Raw genomic sequence first — 19,806 nt, 5'->3', positions numbered from 1 at the left:
AGTTCTTAAGCCCCTGCACCAGCCTTGGACTGCCTATCTCTGGATTTGAGAAAAATAAATCTCTTAGCTATTATGATAAGCCACCACGATCAGGTTTCTATGGCATGCAGCCAAATGCAATTCTCAGAGGTGTGGAGGAATTTTTAGTTGACCACAAATGCAAATATAGTCATCAGTTGGACAAGGCTACTAACAAAGCTGACGCCGGCTCATGACTAGCCCCTTACAGTGTGGTAGATCAGAGCTATCAGTGTTTGCTTATCGGTTGCTATATTTAATCCTTGTGTTAATTCTGTGAGGTAGGCATTATCAATTCTATTTTACTGAAGCCGAGAAAGGCTGAAGCCCTTGTCCATGGTTACAAGGCTAGGGGTGAAATCAGGATTTAAAGTCCAGCAATCTTTTGCCATAGGGATATAAAGGCTAGATTTTCATTCTAAGGAGTCTGTGGCATTTAAGTAATGAGTCACACCTCCCATCTGTTGCCTTTGCGTTCTCCTAACACCTTGTGCTTTTCCATGCCTGTTAACCATCACCACTCTTCACCCTGATGGGACTGCAGACTTTTGCTTCTACCAGAGCTAAACCTCCTGCCCGCCAAATCTCACCATAAACTACACACTATAATCACAAGCTCTTTAAAAATGTACCAAATCTTCTCATCTCTTTTTCTCAAGCTCTTGCCTTTGCCAAAAATGCTTTACTTCAGAAGAGTAAACTGCTGTATTTGGGCCCAGGGAGGATAGTCTGGTATCTGCAGGCCCGTTGTGGGCAGGATACCCATCTCAGTGTAGCTCATAGCACTGAAAACATACACAGTGCTTAGGTGTAAATATTTGTAAAGTTAAAGTGGATTCCAGCCACACTAGAATCCAAGTTGAATTCAAATTTACTCCTATGCTGGGGGCTGTGGCTCATGATTGTAATCCCAGCATTTCGGGAGGTCCAGGCAGGAGGATTACTTGAGATCAGGAGATAGAAACCAGTCTGGGCAACATAACGAGACCCATCTCTACACACACACACACACATAAAATTAGCCACGTGCGTTAGCGTGCACCTATAATCCTAGCTACTCAGGAGGCTGAGGCAGAACTGCTGAGCCCAGGTTGAGACTGCAGTGAGCCATGATCATGCCATCATACTCTGGCCTGGGCGACAGAGTGAGACTACCCTCTCCCCAAAAAATTACCCATTTAAAATCATTAACGTCAAGTTCCATCAAACATACAAATTTCGTCAAACATACAAATGAAACATACACTATAGAAAATTTCAAATAGACTATATACTCCATTGAACGTTTAATAAATTATATTCAAGTATGACTTTCTTTAAAAAAGAGACAAAATTATAATGCAAGTATTTATTAAAATGCTGACAATTTAAACATCCTCTGAATTATATGAAATACTTATTTACTTTTGTGAAATGCGTTAGTGAAAATCTAGGAGTTTCTATGTAAGGCTGAGCATTTTCAACATTCCTGGCCTAGATGAGAAAAGAATGCATTCTCTTACTGGTACTCAGGAAATATTTATACAATACACTTGGGTTCTACTTGCTGGTGTGTGGAGACTAGGCTAGCACCCATGACTGGCTGGGCTCTAGAAAACAAGCATGCAGTGCTCCTGTGCCATCTGGGACCCAAGAGACAAAAGTCTGATCTAGGGTGAAGCTACATGCAGAGGGTGAAGAGGACTATACCAACAGCCTCACTTGTCTGGAGGAGCAAAAGGAAAGCCGTGCACAGATATTGCTTTGACCTTAAAATATTTGTTAAGTGAGGCAAGAAAGAAGCCAGGAGTCTTCTCACAACCGTTCCAGGTCAGCAATTTCTAAGATATTTCTATCAAGGTAATTGGTAGAAAATATAAATGCGTGCTGGCCCTGACTCAAGAATTAAACCATCGTAACATATACATACACAATTTGGAGGACAGGCAGTTATCAAACAGTCTATAAACTCAAGTGGGGCATCAGCTCAATTAATACCTGTCTATCTGGCTTCAGCTGGTAAGGAATCATAAAGATGTTCAAATTTTGATTTTTGGTGAATGTATTTCACAAAGCTACCATTTCATAAGGACAATAAGGTTCACTATATCACAATACACGACAAAATTTACAAATGAGATGACAGCTATTTTAAATACATTTTGTAAAGGCATTTTCCACTAACTATAAAATCCAGTGAGACAAAAAGATAATTACACTATAGTTACCATCAAGACTTTTAGACTGTAGTTGAAGTTCAAAAGGTTGATTTAAAAAAAAGATAACATGAGGCTTAATTATATATGAAGAGTATTTGATTAGATACAGAAAACATTAGTAAGTGTGGTTTTCTTCCTCTTGAAAACTAGCTTTACGAAGTAATACCAACTCCAATTAAATTTTGACCTACTTTAATTCCTCATCAATGGCACCATAAGCTGGTACACTCAAAGTAAACCAGTTACTTTGGCCACCAAATTAGGCCACCTCTGTTTCTAAAATAACTAGGATACAACGGAGTAGCATGCATTTAGTTACTATACAGTATCGTGCAAACTTACAGACTTTAAAAACATTTCCTCCATTTTTCCAAAGTTCTGTTTCTTAGGACTTTGATTTTAAACATGTCTACCTTAGGGTTCTAAATAATAATGTCTCCTATGAGAACATGTGGGGTAAAACCATTCTCTAATTTGACAAGCTATATTCTAAAAGATTACTGCAAACCTGCTATGTTAGGACAGGGTTGAAAGTACTATCTGAAATCTGAGGGATGTTTAGAGGACTGACCCCCAGACAAGGGATTTAAAATGTTTTTTGGCCAGGCACAGTGGCTCATGCCTGTAATCTCAACACTTTGGGAGGTAAGGCAGGAGGATCATTTGAAGCCACAAGTACAAGGTCAGCCTGGGCAACAAAGTGAGACCCCCATCTCTACAAAAAATAAAAAAAAATTAGCCAGGAAAGGTGGTGCACACCTGTAGTCCTAGCTGCTTGGGAGGCTGAAGCAGGACGATCGCTTGACCCCAGGAGTTGGAGGCTGCAGTGAGCTATGATCTTGCCACTGCACTCCAGTCTCAGTGGACAGAAAAAAAATTTAATTTTTCCAGAGAAAAGGGAAGGGAAAAAGTGTTCCATAATCTAGGATATGTTCAAGAGCCTTTGCTCTTATAGTCAAATATATAAAAACAATTTTCCTTAAAGAAATACCAGTCTATGAGCCAAGGCAAGCTTTGGCTAAATGATTGGTTAGCTTTTATTTGGCTCTAGAGGTTTCCATGGAAACAGCCTGAGAGACAGAAAAGGCAGCATTATCATCTTTATCCATGATGCCATCTGATAAAACTGCACATTGATTCATTCATGCTATTCAGAGCAGATGTATTACTTCTGATAAGCCTGGACAAAGGGAGGCATGAGTTTTATCCCGTCACGCTTTGAATTTCCTGTCTTCCCCTGTTTGAAACCTTAAATTAAAATCCTGATAAAACCTCCTCTGAACATTTCCCTCAGGAGCCTCTAGCTGAAGTAATGCTTCAATAATCAGAAGTCATATGAAGAAACGTGAAGCCCCAAATGGAGCTCCACTGCCAAGTTCTTAAAATTATATGGCACCACGCTTCCTGTAGCTGAAGAAATTGTTCTGAAGAGTATTTACAATTCCATTATATCAGATCTCAGCCAGGCAAGAAATGTCATCATAAGTGTTTATTATATACAGTTGAAGCAGGTGGCATCATCCATCATTTTTCTTCCTCTTGATGTCTAGATCAGTTGTGTGTGTATTTTAATATAGTAACACACCCTCACAATTATCTAATCTTATTTCAGGTTAGTGCTTCTTGGAAAGGCTACAAAAGCAGCCATAGCTCAGAATTATGTATCTGAAGTAAACAAAAATAAAAACCTCAACAACAAAATATTAACCAAACAAACAAGATAAAGACGCATGCAACCTATAGCACCATACCTAAGACCACAAAGGGCAGGAGGGTTGACAGAGGTCTTAAGAGGAATCCAGTTTTGGGTTTTCTCCTAGGATGAGATCCCAAATATAGAACCTATTTGTAGAGTCCAATACTTTTAAAAAGGGAAAGCCTGAGAAATTCTGTTAACAGAAATATGAAAATCCATGATTTTCCAGAAGACAGATGATTTGACACTGTTCTTATTCTAAAAGCATCAAAGACGTTATACCTTAGAAATAAACTGCTCACTTTGGAAGATCAGTTAGGCAATCCCTGCCAACCTCAATGAACTAAAATGATATCTCAGTAAGTTAAAAATATGATACACCCCCACCAAGGACCAATTTACTCATGGAAAGTAGTTTACAGAGCAGTTAGCTCTCTGACATCTGTATAACCCTACAGACATGTGCTACATTGAAAAGATTCAATCTTGCACATATCATTATATGCTCCACATGGCAAAACATCTGAAAAACACTCAGATGTTTTTCAAAAACCTCTGTGCATTATGACATTGGTGTGGAAATTTAGATCTCAGCTTAATCCTTTCCAAAAGAAGCGAGTAAAAGTCCCGGGAAAGGTTTACTTAGAGATGAGTGAAGATTCTGGTAATTTAAAGGTGATGGGTTAAGAAGCTATAGAGCTAGAAACAACTTCAGATCTCACCTAATCCCTCATCTTATTGACGGAAAAACTGAAGTCCCAAGATAAGTATCAGATCCAACCAATGGAAGAACTGTGACCAGAAGAGAAACCATGGGACTCTTAGTTCAGTGCTTTTCCCCATCATGTTTATCTGGGGCTCCTTTAAATCTTAGCATGCATAATTTAATAAAGCTCTAAGGAAAATGACTGAAAAGTATCAGAGAGGAAAAATGCTGCCTTCTAATGAAGACTTTGGCAATTCACGTTCTGATGTGCTTAATATTAACAAACGGAAAACCCCAGTCATCTTTTGGCAAAAATGTTACTTCTTCTAAGAAACAGGTTCCTTTTCTGAGAGCGAGCTGATTTTGTAGGTACTGGGTTACAGCATTGTAGGTTACAGCTGACAGTTTTCATATGCCCCATCTTTGTAGTTACAGTTAGATTCTGCAGATCCTATATCATCAGGTGGACTGAAATGACTGCTGCCTTGAGACTCTGTATCAATACTTTTGGTTTCTGACTGAAGGTGGACAGAAACCTGAACTGCTATTTCCTGGCCTTGTTCATTCAGAGAGCCATCATCTGAATCTCCTCCTGGTGAATTACTCCGTCCCATCTCTGGGTTAATGACATAGATGCCACCTTGAGCATTCAAGGCAGGTCTCTCTTTAATTCTTTCACCCAGGTCATCAGGGTCGTCCACTCGCACAGCCTCAAACATCTCCTCAACAAAGGCTCGACAGTTTAGAATAAGAGGTGGAAGAGGGACACTTCTTGCCAGTTCTTCAATATAACGAGCAAACTCCATGGTCTTAAATTGTGTGACTTTGGCGAGCTCCAGAGTTTTGGCTGAGGTAATGATGGGGATACGTTTTGCAATCTCAAAGGCCTTCTGAAGTTTCTCAGCCCCTTCAGTTCTAAAGAACTCATTGATAGCCTTCTCAGTCTTGCGAAGATGGCTGCTCATCATGCACAGCCGTGTGACATTCAAGATGAGTGTGATTGTAAAGGCAATCAGGCAAACAATCATGTAATAGACACTCATGTCTCCCGAGGTGAAGATAACACGTAGGGTGACAGAGTAGGAGGCACGAATTGGAGAGGTGACGAAACAGGTATAGAGCCCACGGTCATCAAAAGCTACATTGGTGATGTTTAGGAAGTTATCAGAAACCAACCACTTTCCACCTGATAATTGAACAGAAATGAAAAAAAAATTATAGCAAAAAGATTACTAAATATGCCCGCTGCCTTATCCATATTCCACCTCTTTATCAAAGTACTTTAACTTAGCTGATTTGTTAGATTCTACCATTTGTTTAAATCATGTAAAAAAAGGGCAGACTGTGAGGTCCAGAGTCAGAATTTAATTAGCTTGGATCTTAAAAGGAAATCAAGATCTTCCTTCATGACACTAATAATTAACATAGCTTCCTTTTCACTGCTAGACTTCAAAAGCCTTTCTGTGAAACAGGTATGTCTATAAAATGCTAAATGACTAATCATAAAAAAAGCTTATAGTTTATACATATGTGTCCGTCTACATCACATTGCAACCAATACATTTTCATATACTATGAGGGTATGTCTCAGAAATATAAAACAATGGTTTAAAATAACAGTATTTTAAATTTTTATGAGTAATTTTTATTTTCTTCTAACTGTGTTTGCTCACTTTCCATAGTGAAATTATATAACAAGAAGAAATTATTTTAAAAAATCCTAGCAATTTAATGCATTTGTTGAAGTAACTGCCTAATCTGGTATGCCTTGCACATATCAATTTTTTGTTGTTGTTGTTAAGAAACTTTTGTTGATTTTCTGGCAAGAGTAACTGAAGCACAGGCCAAAAAATACATCTCACAAGTCATGGTAAATGAAAAGCTTGGCAAAAAGAATAAAGTTGCCCTTAAGATGCCTATGCTTCCATTTTCAACCTAAAACATACTGCCTCTCTTCCACACGTGAAGGTATTTTCATTCAGGGAACACGTATATAGAAGTATACAAGTGTAAGAAAAGCAAAGCATATTGACTACGCATCTTGATTCACATCCTTCAATAACTTGGCTCTGACTGCATAATTCCTACTTTTGTGATACATTCCCAAAGCACTCTGTGCTTTAACTATGAAAGCCATTCAGAGATGGGAAGGATGGGCTAACCTGCAGTGTGGGGATGCATTCCAATGACTAGAGGAGGTGTCCCAGAGGAGGTTAGCGGACTGCTTGTTAAGCATTACTTGAGTGCCCAATCTTCAAAATCTCTTTCATCCCCAAGATTCTATGGTTCTGGATTATTTTAGTGGCACATAAATTAGTAAGCACTCTGGATTTTGTCCATTTTCATCATCATCCAAACTTATCTCAATCCTATAGGTATTAATATATTTAAAAGCCATCACTTCACTAATACAAAAAGAGGAAAACATGTAGTTATGAATATAGCCATTTTCCATAAGCTTCTGTTCTATGAACTTAGAGCTATGAAAACGACACCACTTGAATCCAAGGTATGATGAACTACAAAGACTCCATTCATCAACCATTGCACTACAACCACAATCTAAACTCTCTAGCTCACTTGCTGATAATAGCTCAAGATTTATGAACCTTATACTAGACTGACATGCTCTTTAAACTCCTCTCACTTGAGATTCATAAAATTTAATACAATTTTCCAGAGCTGCTGCTGAAAGCATCAATGATAGATGTTAGTGGTTTTCAAAGTAAAGGCAAAATAGAAAAATAAAACTGCCATTCCACTTGGCTGGTCTTGTTTTAACCTAAGGCTTTGTTTATGCAGTCAGTCTACAGTGATGACACTGAATGAATAATTCAGATCTCAGAGGTGTTTGGTCAGGATATCGTAGAGCCCAGAGAAGATAGGAGTCTGGTTCAGTGGGTTCAAATATGGAACCCCAAATCATGTTCAAAGTACACATTCCAGGTATCACTCTAATTCAATAGTTATGTATTTTAAACATGCTGATTAAAAATACCCTAACAATTCAAACTCTTCAATCCCTTGGTGACTAGTCACTCAGTCTATAGATTAAAATAGTGCATATGTCTGAAGGAAGTATCACCTGTCTCCTTTTGTGTTTTCCAGCCTAATATGAATAACCAATATCCTTTTCTATTTCAGAAGGCTACACTATCTTCCTAACAAAAAAATTTCTGAAAGTGTAGCTTGTGAGGATCTTAGAATTTAAGCTTCATCCCTTTGGCTTTTCATGGTGATTTCTTTTTGAGGTCCATTATAACTCAAGTACTCATCAAAAAGATCTTTATAACAGAACACTGGTTAGGAGTAGTCTGGATTAAGATATATTCACAGATCCATGAATAGGAAAATTAAATAAAAATCTGTCAAAAAGTAGACCTTGAACACACTATGTTTATGTGATTTTTAAGACATAAACAAAAAATGCAAAAAAAAATTTCTCATTTCCAGTAAATTAAGGTATAGAATACAAAAAAAAAAAAAAAAAAAAAAGAGCTGGAAGGGCTTACAAGTTCCATAGTGCCCTTCTAATTCTCTGAGACCTGACGTCAAAGTTTTATGCACAGATTGATACTCATTTTCAAAAATGTCCTGGATTTCCTCTAAAGTTTATAGTAACTAATTTCAGAGCAAAACTTTTTTATTTATAACAAATTTTCTTAAGTCTAGCCAAAAACCTTCTGGATGTATTCACACAGGGCCACCACACTGTACTACTGACATAGTAGTCTAGGTGAAGGGTGCTCCCAGAGTTGTGTTGTATACCACCTGTACAGCTGTATGCAGCAGCCCTGATTTACTCTACCTTCAATGAAGAAGAAAACCAACTGATCAGGAGAGAAAATAGCTCATTGTCATCATGTGAACATCTTTTAAATTTAGAATGATTCTTTTTTTTCTTCTTCTGGTTAAACAATTATAATTACTTTGCATTTTCTGATAGGTACAACACTCCAGACCTTTCAAATGTTTTAAACTATTCACCTTGGCACCTTATCTTTGAGACTTTTTGTTTAACGTGTTAAAAAATAAGAAGACAGAACAGGAAATGAGTAACCTTGATTAATTATACCCTGACCAATTACCTCTGCTTCTGCCATCCAGTTGCTGTCCTTTTGAATTGTGCCAATGGACATCTTCATAGTGACTGGCTGTGAGAAGACACTCAATTGAAACGCTAGTTCCCTCTTTGGCTATGATGACATCATCATCCGAGTGGGAACTTGCTGAGAGTTCAAAGCTTGAGGGAAAGGATGCATTGTAAGAACTACGATTTGCTTCCAGTGAAACCATTTGGTCGAAGTCCACATCTTCCAAAACAAAAGCAGCTGGCACAATAATACTTGCCACTAAAGTGAATAAGCAACAATGTAGCTTCATGGGAAAATGGGACAAAATCTTGTTTAGATTTGGAGAACTCAAAAACTTCTACACTACAACAAAAGCACAGCGGGTAATTTATTGCTTGGTAGAGAAATTTTCCAAACAAGTGGTAGATCCAGTTATATTTTCTAGTCTTCAAGATTAAAAGATGTGAGTAGAGAACCTAAAAGAAAGCCAGATACAAAGTTTAACCAACTGAGATTCATAATGGGGTGAAAGTGCGTATGTTCCAGAATGAATAGATGTTAATTAGAATAATTGGTGCTGACATTGGGGAGTAATTAGATGGAACAGTACCTAAAAATCTCACACAGAGACAGCAGAAAAAGCAATGAATTGGTAAATAGCAGACCTAGATTTTGGTCCTAGCTTTGCCACTAACTAGCTGTACGACCTTGGCAAGCAGCATTCTCTCTGGGTTTCTGTTTTCTCCTCTGTCAAATAAGGGACTGGATGAGATAATCTCTAAGGACTCTTCCAATTCTGAAATGCCATGATTCTATTTCATTCTGACAAATTTTATGCAACAGGGAGCCAATGAAGGCTAAAATATTTATCTTAATGATCTTTTATTTCAACCTGCACCATTACCATCTGTTGTTATAATGTAAATCAACTGGCATATCATAATCATAACCATGGAGCTCAAAATTTGAGTAATTCAAGTATGAAGATATGTTACATATAAATAATGCAGGGACACCTGAGGTGGGTTGTTTTAACACTGGAAAGAAAGCTGCACTTACTGCATACACATAAATAGAGTTATTGACTTCTAAAGCTATGGAACCTCCTTCATGGGCAAGAACATTAGACAACAGAATTTTCTTTTAATAGTTTCTCCAATACGAAGAGACAAAGTACAGTGTATTTAATAGTTTGTAAGCATACCAAATTTCTAGCTCAAACTCTGTAAACTAGCTAAGGGAGGAACTGACATCTTAAGTGTCTAGTTAGTAGAAATGCAAATATAAAACTACAGGGACAGATTGTTAGACACATTTAAAAGAAGAGCAAAATATCTTGAATAAAAGGCAAAATAACATCCTAGTCCAAAAGTCTATGTATTTATGATCACCTTCCTGGTAATTTGACTCCCCCTTTAAGCCACCAACTCTCAAAGAAAAAATTCAACTTTTATTTCTATAAAATATGGGATGAAATGCCTAGCTTTATGTCTTATAAAGCACCAAGATAATTAGTTTTGGAAATGACATTTACTCTCCTTTATATTTATATGAAGGCTGCTTGATCACAGAACATAAAAAACAATGAATCACTGTATTTTGCCATTAAATATCTCAAAGTCTAAATTACAATACGGTGCAAATGTCATTTAATTTTCATTAATTAACCCTTGAAAGGATGGTTGAATGGTGACAAATACTTTTCTAAATCTTTACAATTTAAGGATGGGGTATACAGAGTAAAATAAAAAACCTTCAGACTTTGGCAATACATGACACACTAAACGTGTTTATTTCCATTTCCTCCTAAAACCGCACAAAAAGGACACTAAAGGAAACAAAGACTTAGGCAGAGAGGGGATTTTGGAAGTAATATAATCTAATTGATTCAGTGCACAGTGATTTGCTTCTTACGACATGCTACAAGTTAGTAGGAGAATCTAGTTTGGAATACAGTCTCTTTTTTAAGAGGGGGTGATGGGTAGAAACAATGGAAATAACATTTATTGAATGACTGCCATCAGCCAAGCACTGTGCTAGGGGCTTGACATGTAAGTTTCCAAGCTCTTTTTCACTGCAAGATATACAGCAATTGGAGGACATAATTTTGTACTTTATTCTAGATTAGTGGTTCTCAACGGTGACAGGCTATGAGTGTGCTGAAAAAATGCTCCAGGCTTTCTCCAGAACTTTGATTAGGAGTTCCTATAGCTTCATCCAGGGCAGCACTTCCCAAACTTCATTCATTCCTTCTCCTGTCTTTTTTGTTGTTGTTGTTTTTACTATATCCATGAACCAAATTATCGTCATTTCTGCTTTTCTTTTAAATCAACTCATTTTATTTTTACTTTCACATTTATTTAAAAAGGAAACTCTACATCAGTTCTGTGGACAAATGTAACCGTACACATAAACATAATGAAAACAAAGAAGTGTTATTAGCTTCCAGAGATACTACTGCCTGCTGAAAGGCTTTGAGCTGGAGGCTTGCTCTCTCTGTAGTAAAACCAAAACCAAAACAAAAAGCCCCCCACAACTCCAGTTTATTTTAATGCCACCTCATTTCTTAACCTGCCATCTCCTTCCTTTCTACTCTTCCCCACCACTGAGTTTGAGATCGGAGGGATACATTTTCATATACTGAACAGTATCTATTGAGCACCTACCATGTGCCTACCTACTGCCCCATAGACATTGTCTCGGCCTCCACGAAGTTCAGTCTGGCAGATGATGGACACTAACTACATATATACAAAATAAACTCAATGTTACCCAAGGGAAAATACAGATGCTACAGGAGGACCCAACATGGGGAGTTAATCTCATCATGGAAAGCCTCTGAGAAAAAGAGGTGTGCAGCACCTATTCTTCAGGTGCAGGACCTGAAGAATAAAGAGGAATAAAAATTGGGAGGAAAGCACTCAAGGTAGAGGGCCAGGAGACAGGGAAAAATGAGAGGGGTCACTGGTCAGGAGTTGTTCACAAAAAACAGCTAAAAAATTGTGGTAAAGACAGGCAGTGGCCAAAAATGCTGCGTCTGATTCCTGATTCTGGAGGAGAACTAACTGGGCCAATGGTGAAACTGGAGATAGACTCCGGAAGCTGCAGTGGCTGAAGTGAGTGAGGGAGATATTCGTCCATGATGAAGACGTCAAACAACTGAGAGGCTCAAACGTGGGCAGATCACCTGGGGGTATGGTCACATCCCCCCAGGATCAAAGTAGCTAGTGTAGAAGAAACTGGAAAGAAAGGAAATGGATTCGGTCTTCCTGCTCTGAGATTCAGGAACTTCAGCAGAATGAACAGCTGTCACAGGCGAGGGCTGCAGGGCAATGAGTGTCCTCACCAACACAAGGCTTGGCAAAGCATAACTCCCACATGGAATTCTGCCTTCCCGCAAACTTCCTGAACCTCCTATCAAGGCCTTAGCTATTCCTCCTACATAAATTCAGAGTATAGCTGTATAAAGGATGGCTTCTCCTTCACCCCAGAGCCCTCCCCACCTACCGTACTCATCTGGCGCTGGTATATGCTGCTCTGTACTGCTAGGCAGTCTATCCCATCTCAACTACCCCTTAAGAACAAGGCCTATATTTTTTATTGCTGTACGTCATAACTAGCACATGCTCAATAAATATTGATGGAGATTAGTTTAAATTTGATTCAGTATGTGACAGATCTTTATAAATTGAATAATGTTATGCAACAGGGATTATAATTGTTCAAACTGACATACAGTTGCCTATTATAAATTCTCTGAAACAAAAACAGTCAATGCTAACAATCTTGGAAGACCTTAAAAGTACCTAATTAAATGCATTCTTCCGACTCCCAACCTGATACCTTCATTTACCATGTTGTCCTAGAGGATAATGGTAGGAATAAAAGATCACCAAGTGCAGTTTCCAAACCAGGTTGAATATCACAACTGTCAGGAGAGCTTTTTAAAAATATGGATTCCCAGGTCCCAACCCAGAACGAGTAAGAAACTCTGTGTTTGCGCCTTGGAATTTATGACTTTTAATTGGCTCCCTGGGTGTTTCTGAGGCATTGGATTCATGTACTGCATCTAAGGGCCACTAATACAGTTCCTCAATTTCCTCTGCAACTGACCTGCAGAATGGTGCTTCAGGCTATTTGAATATTTCCAATGAGAGATATAATCACTCACATTCCATTCTAGATTTAGATTACTCTAGATCAGCAAAATTGAAGGTCTCTAATAAGAGCAGGGTAGCAGAGAGGTTCAGAGTATAGGATTCAAATACGATCTGTGACTCTAACCAGCCTTGCAACTTTTATAAATGACTTAATCTCCCTGCCTCAGCCCCTCATCTTTAAAATGGGCAAAATAACAGAATCTATTCTCACAGGATTATTGCAAAGTCTGAATGAGGTAGTATACATAAAACACAGAGTCTGGCAATGGTAATCACTGAATAAGCTCTATTATTATTGTTCATGGTTCTTTCAGATATTGAACTAAAATTTACATTTGATAGTTACATCATTATAAAACACTCAGAATACCATGCAACCATTTAAAAATCTTGGGGGTTGGGGGGAAGGGGACACCATTATGCAGTTTTAATCTTAAATTTAAAATTTCACATTTTTCTTTTTCTCATTGCAAATATTTTGCAATATTATGGAGCATATAGGCATTGTAAACTGAGCTTGGATCCCAACCATGATATGACATTGTATGTGTCCTCAGTTTGTGGTAGAGAAGATTTGTCGTGATCTACTTACCCAACGGCTCCCCTCTTTGAGCCCTATCCCTATCTTCTTGGGTCTAGGAGGAAGACAACCTATTGGCAAAGTAAGCTAATAGAATCTTTGTTCTTGGAACTTGGAATTGAGACCCTTGTGGGTCAGGGTCATTTGAGGAAAAGGAGGCATGTGGGGGCTGAGGCAGTCAGGTTTGGGCCACATACAAGGAGAAGCTGTAAGAAAGGACAAGAGGGATGGGGAAGGGAGAGAGTGGGAAGACAGGAAGAGGAGCAGGAGAAAGACAAAGAGAGACTCATACATGGTGCTTTGGTGCCTGATAGAATTCTACTTCCTGGCACTCCTGTGACCCTTTTTTTTTTTTAAAAAAAGAAACAACTTTATTAAATTTTACTCAAAATTAAAACCACAAAAGTGAAGATGAATGTGCAAACACGTAATAAATGCGGAAATGGTTAGGCAGGAGAAAAAAGATTAAGTTCACAAAAAGTTATTGAACTGTGTCTGTGGCTGCCAGGCAATCTTCATCATAGATCTCTAGTCTCTTCCTTACACAGTGGAGTGTGGCAAGCAAACTGCCCATGTGGCCAAGATTTGTGGTTCTTGTGTTGTACAGACATAGCCATTTGCCTCTACCTACCAGACAGGATTTAGGAAAACACTATAAACTCCCTTAAACTGCTCTTAGGCCAAACATGGCAGAAGAAACCTGGCACACTGATTTTGAGCCACAAGAGAAAGAGGCTGCACAATAGCCTTACACATCCAGTTAATACTGGGCACTTCACTCATACCATGTACATCCTGAACACAGAGGACTTCTGATTTGAAAGACTAACGGATATAACCCATTTGCAGGTAACAGGCTGTTCAGCAGCTGTGAGAGAAAACACTGGCAAAGATACGTGTCCAAGAAGGTGACAAAGCAGAAAAAAATAGTGAGGGAAGAACAAATCATCCTTGGTATCAGGGTACTATTATTTCCTCACACTAAGTCTCCTTTTTGCTAAGTCAGCTTGAATGGGTTTCTGCTACTTGCAGCACAAACTGCATTGACTATGACCATTCTGCTCATTCTAGACTAATGACTTTAAAACTACAGCTCAGCTAGGTCAAGGATCCATCGTGGAAGATGAAGTACAGTAGGTGGTGCAAGAGTTGCTAAGGAGAATTAGGACACTGTCCTAGACCCTCAGGAATTTACAAACCAGCTTGAAAGACAGCCCAGAAACAGCCAACTGTATCTAAGACAATGTGACTGAAATGTAATTATATTGTGAATGCAACAGAGAAAAGACAAATGTGTCAGTTCTAGGAATGCAATTCACTTATATGTTTGGGACTTCCTATAATATTAGGCCTGCATGCTTTGAACATATGATCCTTTATACTATAGTTATTTTACTTTCATTTCCAATCCTTTAATTTTTCCTCACATATACAGCCTCAGATGCAGAATTGTTCACCAAATCAGTTAAGTGGGCTGAGGTCATTAAGGCAGGTATATTAGATGCCATGGGAGACACAAGAGTACGTGCATTTGTATTTGGAAAAAAAAATATATATATATATATTATGCCTGCTGTTTTTAATGTAGCAGCTGACATTTGAAACCCAAGAACAGATTTCAAAAAGGAAAACCAAAGTGTCACCTTCTTCTTATCAGTTAAAAAGGGCTATACTATGTTTGTGGATGAAGTTACTTGATAAAATTTTTTATTACCTTTCCTTTTTGTGTGTGTGTGTGTGTGTGACGGAGTTTCGCTCTTGTTGCCCAGGCTGGAGCGCAATGGTGAGATCTCGGCTCACTGCAACCTCCACCCCCCAGGTTCAAGCGATTCTCCCACCTCAGCCTCGCAAGTAACTGGGATTACAGGCATGCACCACCACGCCTGGCTAATTTTTTGTATTTTTAGTAGAGACGGGGTTTCTCCATGTTGGACAGGCTGATCTTGAACTCCCAACCTCAGGTGATCTGGCTGCCTCGGCCTCCCAAAGTGCTGGGATTACAGGCGTGAGCCACCGCGCCCAGCCTATATTACCTTTCTTCAGCATTAATAAATAAAAATGTAATAGATAAGTGTAAGACTCAAGTTTAATCCAACTCCTTTTTCATCTTTCAGGTATACAGAATGTAAGCTTTGCTAGGATCATAAAGAATCAGAAATGTGGATGATTTTACCCCAGAAAACCATGTTGAATATTGACTATATTATTTTTAAAAAAGAGAAGAGCCTATAGCTGTCACCCCTAACAGATTGTCTTGTTGCCGTTCCTGCCAACTTCTGAGGGAAGAAATATTTCCATTCTGTTCCAATTTTCAACACAAATAAGGAAGTAATATGGCTGATTTCCGTTCTGGTGACTCAATATTAAGTTGGCTGAGGAAACTGATGTTTGCAGAAATAGTTCTGGGAAAATGCAAAGCAGGGAAACACATTGATGCCCAGGTGGTATTTTTTTTTTTTAAACTCCAATTATATTGGGATATTAGTGCTTCATTCTCTATAATCAAATGTGTTCTAGGCTGCATTTACAGCTCATCCACCCTTCTCTGCCTGCACTGTCACACTTGGAAAACGGACCAGTTCCTACAGCAGGCACACAAATTGACAAAGCAGCATTCTGAATCGGCAAAGGGGAGAAAAAGCAAATGAAGAGCAGGTTGTTAGCACTACCCTACCCTTTGCAAAGAATAAACACAAAGTTGTTCTGCCTAGACTCAAGCATTATTATAGGGATCTGTAACTAAAAAAGGTTAGTGACATTCAAACAGAAATCACTATCCTGAGGGCCATTTACTCAAAAGTTTCTAATTAAAATAGCCTTTATATTACTACCTTGGAGCTATCACATACCCCATAACTAGCATTTGGTCAGTCTGAGCTCAAACTTCAACATATCTTCTGGCACCTGGAGAAACATCGTCTGTATTTATCAGAGCTTTGCTTTAAACCCAGGATTATTTCAGTTATACCCATAACTTATATCCTTTTTGCCATAGGTATATTTGCTGAATAGCTACTGGATGCAAATGACAAAAACATCAATGAAACAGGCTTAGATTTATGATCTTCCCAGGCCATTTTTCCCCCTCTATAGTCTGAAACATCTCTATTTGAAACTCAGTCTAGTTAAAACAGAACTCCTCTTACCCTCAGATCTACTTGTTCAGCTTATGAACAGCTTAGATAATAGCCAGACAATTCTTCCAGTTTTGCAGTATCAAAATTGTAAGACAATCATGGCTCAGTGGTTAGGAGAATGGGCTCTAGAGTTAAGGTGCCTGATCCTACCCCTGGGTGAAGCCATAGGCTTGCAAGGCCTTAGTTTTCACATTTATTAAATAAAATAATATTAACAGTAACTGCATCATAGGGTAGTTTTGAGGATAAGATGAACTAATGTGGGTAAATTATAAATATATGCTATTGTTATTATTCCACCTCCTACACATTTTTCAATTAAGTCCTGTTGTCTCTGTCCTAACTCATATCCTTTTATCTCACCTGGGTATACCACACTATCCCCTTAATTTCAGAATGGATCTCCTTAACTCCTTTTACCTCTATGATGTATCCAAACACTGTGACACTCAGAATTGGTCCTAAACACAAATCTGAGCAATTCAGGGTAATTTTACAATCTACTGGTGATTTCTCACTGCCCATGAGATAAGCTTAAAATTCCAATTTGGCATTGTAATTCTCCAAGAATAGATTCAGGCAGCAGAACAGAAAGTCATGAGAAGCCCAGAGGTGCCTCTATGTACGATAATTGCTTGCAGGAGGAATGAATGGATTTAAACATTAAGTCTGGTCTTTAGTTTTACCTCTATCACAAATTAGCTATGATGTGCTCCAGTGGTTTTAGTTTCCTCACCTAGAGGCTGATTATCATTATCATTCGTTTCTTTGCTTAAATCCTATAATCTACCCAGCTTTCCTGCCATGGCTGAAAGCCTAAACTACGCTTGTTTTACTTTATTCTCTCTAAATAACTTTTCACCTTACTAGTTGTTCCTTTTGCTTAAAAATCTTTCTGCCCCTTCCCGTCAATATCTTTCTGGGGGAAACTGTACCCTCTCTATAATATTCAACTCTAATTTCATCTTATTCAGGAAACCCTCTCATGCCCACCCTCTTGTCAGATGAGTTTTTTTTTTTTTTGCTCTGTCAGTCCCCTAGCACATTAAGAGTACGCCATTATAAGACTTATCAGTTTTCCTCTTAGCAGTTAGTTATCCGTTCAAAAGACTGTAAGCTTATGAATGATAGAGTCTAAAAACCTTCTGTCCTTAGCACAGGGCCACTGCCTGTGGCAAGTGCTCAAAATTTTGAGTTCAGACACTCATCGACTTGGTAGTGTGAAAGGTGTCTGCTACAAACTTATTAACTTTCCAGAGCTTCAGGCTCTGGAAACTATTGATGGAGAGAGGTGAAGATAAGAAAGACACCTATCTTGAGTTTTAGTAGGCAGAACACTCTAGAGAATCATTTGACTGGTTTTCTCACTCTGTAATTTTCAGACCATTTATATCAAATTAATTTGTGGTGCTTGTTAAAGATGCAGATTTCTTGACCCCACAGACTTATTGAATTGGGATCTCTAGGGGATGCCTGGGCATCTGCATTTTTAATGTGCATATAGGTTTATTGATTTACAAATCAAACTCATATTTCTTTTACTGGCATGACAATCACCGTAATTCAGTGTAATTCTCAAAAGTGTGGTGCAGGAACTCCTGGGTGTCCCTGACACTGTTTCAAAACAATTTACATAATATTAGGACATATCCCTTTTTCACTCACATTCTCACACAATATGGCACAATTTTCTAAAAGTTACATGATGATTGATATTGTAAGAGAATGAAGGTAGAAGTTACGAAAATCTAGCTGTCTTTTATTCAGCCAGACATTAAAGAGATTTGTAACAATGTAAAACAATGCCATTCTCAATAATTTTTCATTTTGGAAAATATCCTTTACAGAAATGCTATCTATGTTAACATATAATGAGTTTATTTTAAAATGAATAACCTTTGTTGAAAGTTGTTTTCTAAAATAGTAAATATTGATAGCTATTATAAACAAAAACCCTTTGAAGTTCTCAATACATTTTAAAAGTATAAAGAAATTCTAAGATCAAAAAGTTTGAGAACTGCTGCTATAATTATCAGCAGCATTTAAAAAATAAGTGGCTTCCCAAGATTCCATACTTTAGCCCCAAATTCTATGCATTTTCCATTACAACAGAAAATCAGAGGAAATGATCCATTTTATATTTAAGCAGGGGTTTTTTTGTTGTTGTTTTTTGGAATTTTAACAAGCTTCCAGGTGATATTGATGAACCTAAATTTAGAGAACCACTGTCAAAAGCAAAGGAAAATATCTGAAGAGTTTTAGAAGTGACAATTACTCTTATCTGGGAATTAAGATGATAATTCCGAGGGCATTAAATGGAGTTGGAAAACATGAGTTCTTAAAGGCTAAGTCCCTTCACCTCTCTGGGATTCAGTTTTTCTTATCTGTACAATAAGATTGATTTTAATATTTTACTAGCTCTGTCAGTCTGGATTTCATGCATTTTCACTGCTCGAGGGCAACAGAAGAGTTGCATCTTTCTGATGAGGTCCCAGGAGTAATCTTAGAGTCATAAATCAGATCATGTCATTCATCTGCTTAGAAACCTTCAATGGTTTTCCACTGGATTCCAAACAAAAATCAAACTCTTTATCCTTGCTCATAAGCCTTACAAGATTTGGGCTCAAGTCCCTGGCCTCATCTCTCTCCATTCTCACCTTGCTCCTTTTGCTCTAGCCAGTGGCCTTTGTCTTTTCCTTGACTTTGCTAAGTTTGTTCCCACTATATGGCCTTTGCACGCGCTATTCTCTCTGCCTGGAATGCTCTATTCCAGATTTTCATACGGCTTATTACTCTCCCACTTCGTTCCATCACATTATCCAGTCTAAATTTCTTTACAGCACTTACTACCACCTTAGATAATCCCGTTTGTTGACTTGTTTATAATCTGCTTTTCGCACTGCTTGAGAGCAGGGCCCTTCCGTTCGTTGACTGATGTGTCCCTGGAGCCCAGGGCAGTGCCTGGCAGGTATCTGGCTCTCAGTAAGTGTTCGATGACCGAACTCCCACACCCAGGCCAGACTTTCAAAAGAATGGCAAACATTTTCGCCTCCTGCACTCCCGACCCCAAGCCACAGGCTACGACTCACGCCTCGGCGCTCCTAGTAGTCCCCTCGCAGCGACCCCAACCAAGCCGTCACCTACCCGACCGCCGTCTAGCTCCTTCCGGCCTCAGCGGCGGCTTAACTCGGAAGTTTTCTCGGACACACCGGCACGCCTCTGCGCTGAAGGAGCACTT

The 19,806-nt window shown here is 38.5% G+C and overlaps 1 protein-coding gene across 3 annotated transcripts; it reads right to left on the bottom strand.

Moving 5' to 3' along the window:
• MFAP3 (microfibril associated protein 3) lies at window positions 1,274-19,757 on the bottom strand. 3 transcript variants are annotated; one of them, NM_001242336.2, is made up of 3 exons: window positions 19,416-19,757; window positions 8,707-9,167; window positions 1,274-5,804 (listed from the first exon to the last, which is right to left on the bottom strand). In NM_001242336.2, the coding sequence occupies exons 2-3, from the start codon at window positions 8,999-9,001 to the stop codon at window positions 5,011-5,013; spliced, it is 1,089 nt and encodes a 362-aa protein (NP_001229265.1). In that variant the 5' UTR covers window positions 9,002-9,167; window positions 19,416-19,757; the 3' UTR covers window positions 1,274-5,010. The 3 variants fall into 3 exon arrangements, with proteins under 3 accessions (NP_001229265.1, NP_005918.1, NP_001128509.1); NM_005927.5 differs by having other exon boundaries at window positions 19,713-19,757; NM_001135037.2 differs by lacking the exon at window positions 8,707-9,167 and having other exon boundaries at window positions 19,713-19,757.
• Window positions 19,758-19,806: the final 49 nt, after the last annotated feature.

The sequence above is a fragment of the Homo sapiens genome, chromosome 5, assembly GCF_000001405.40.
Source record: "Homo sapiens chromosome 5, GRCh38.p14 Primary Assembly".
NCBI classification, from domain to species: Eukaryota; Metazoa; Chordata; class Mammalia; order Primates; family Hominidae; genus Homo; species Homo sapiens.
This window is presented reverse-complemented; position numbering and strand designations above follow the sequence as displayed.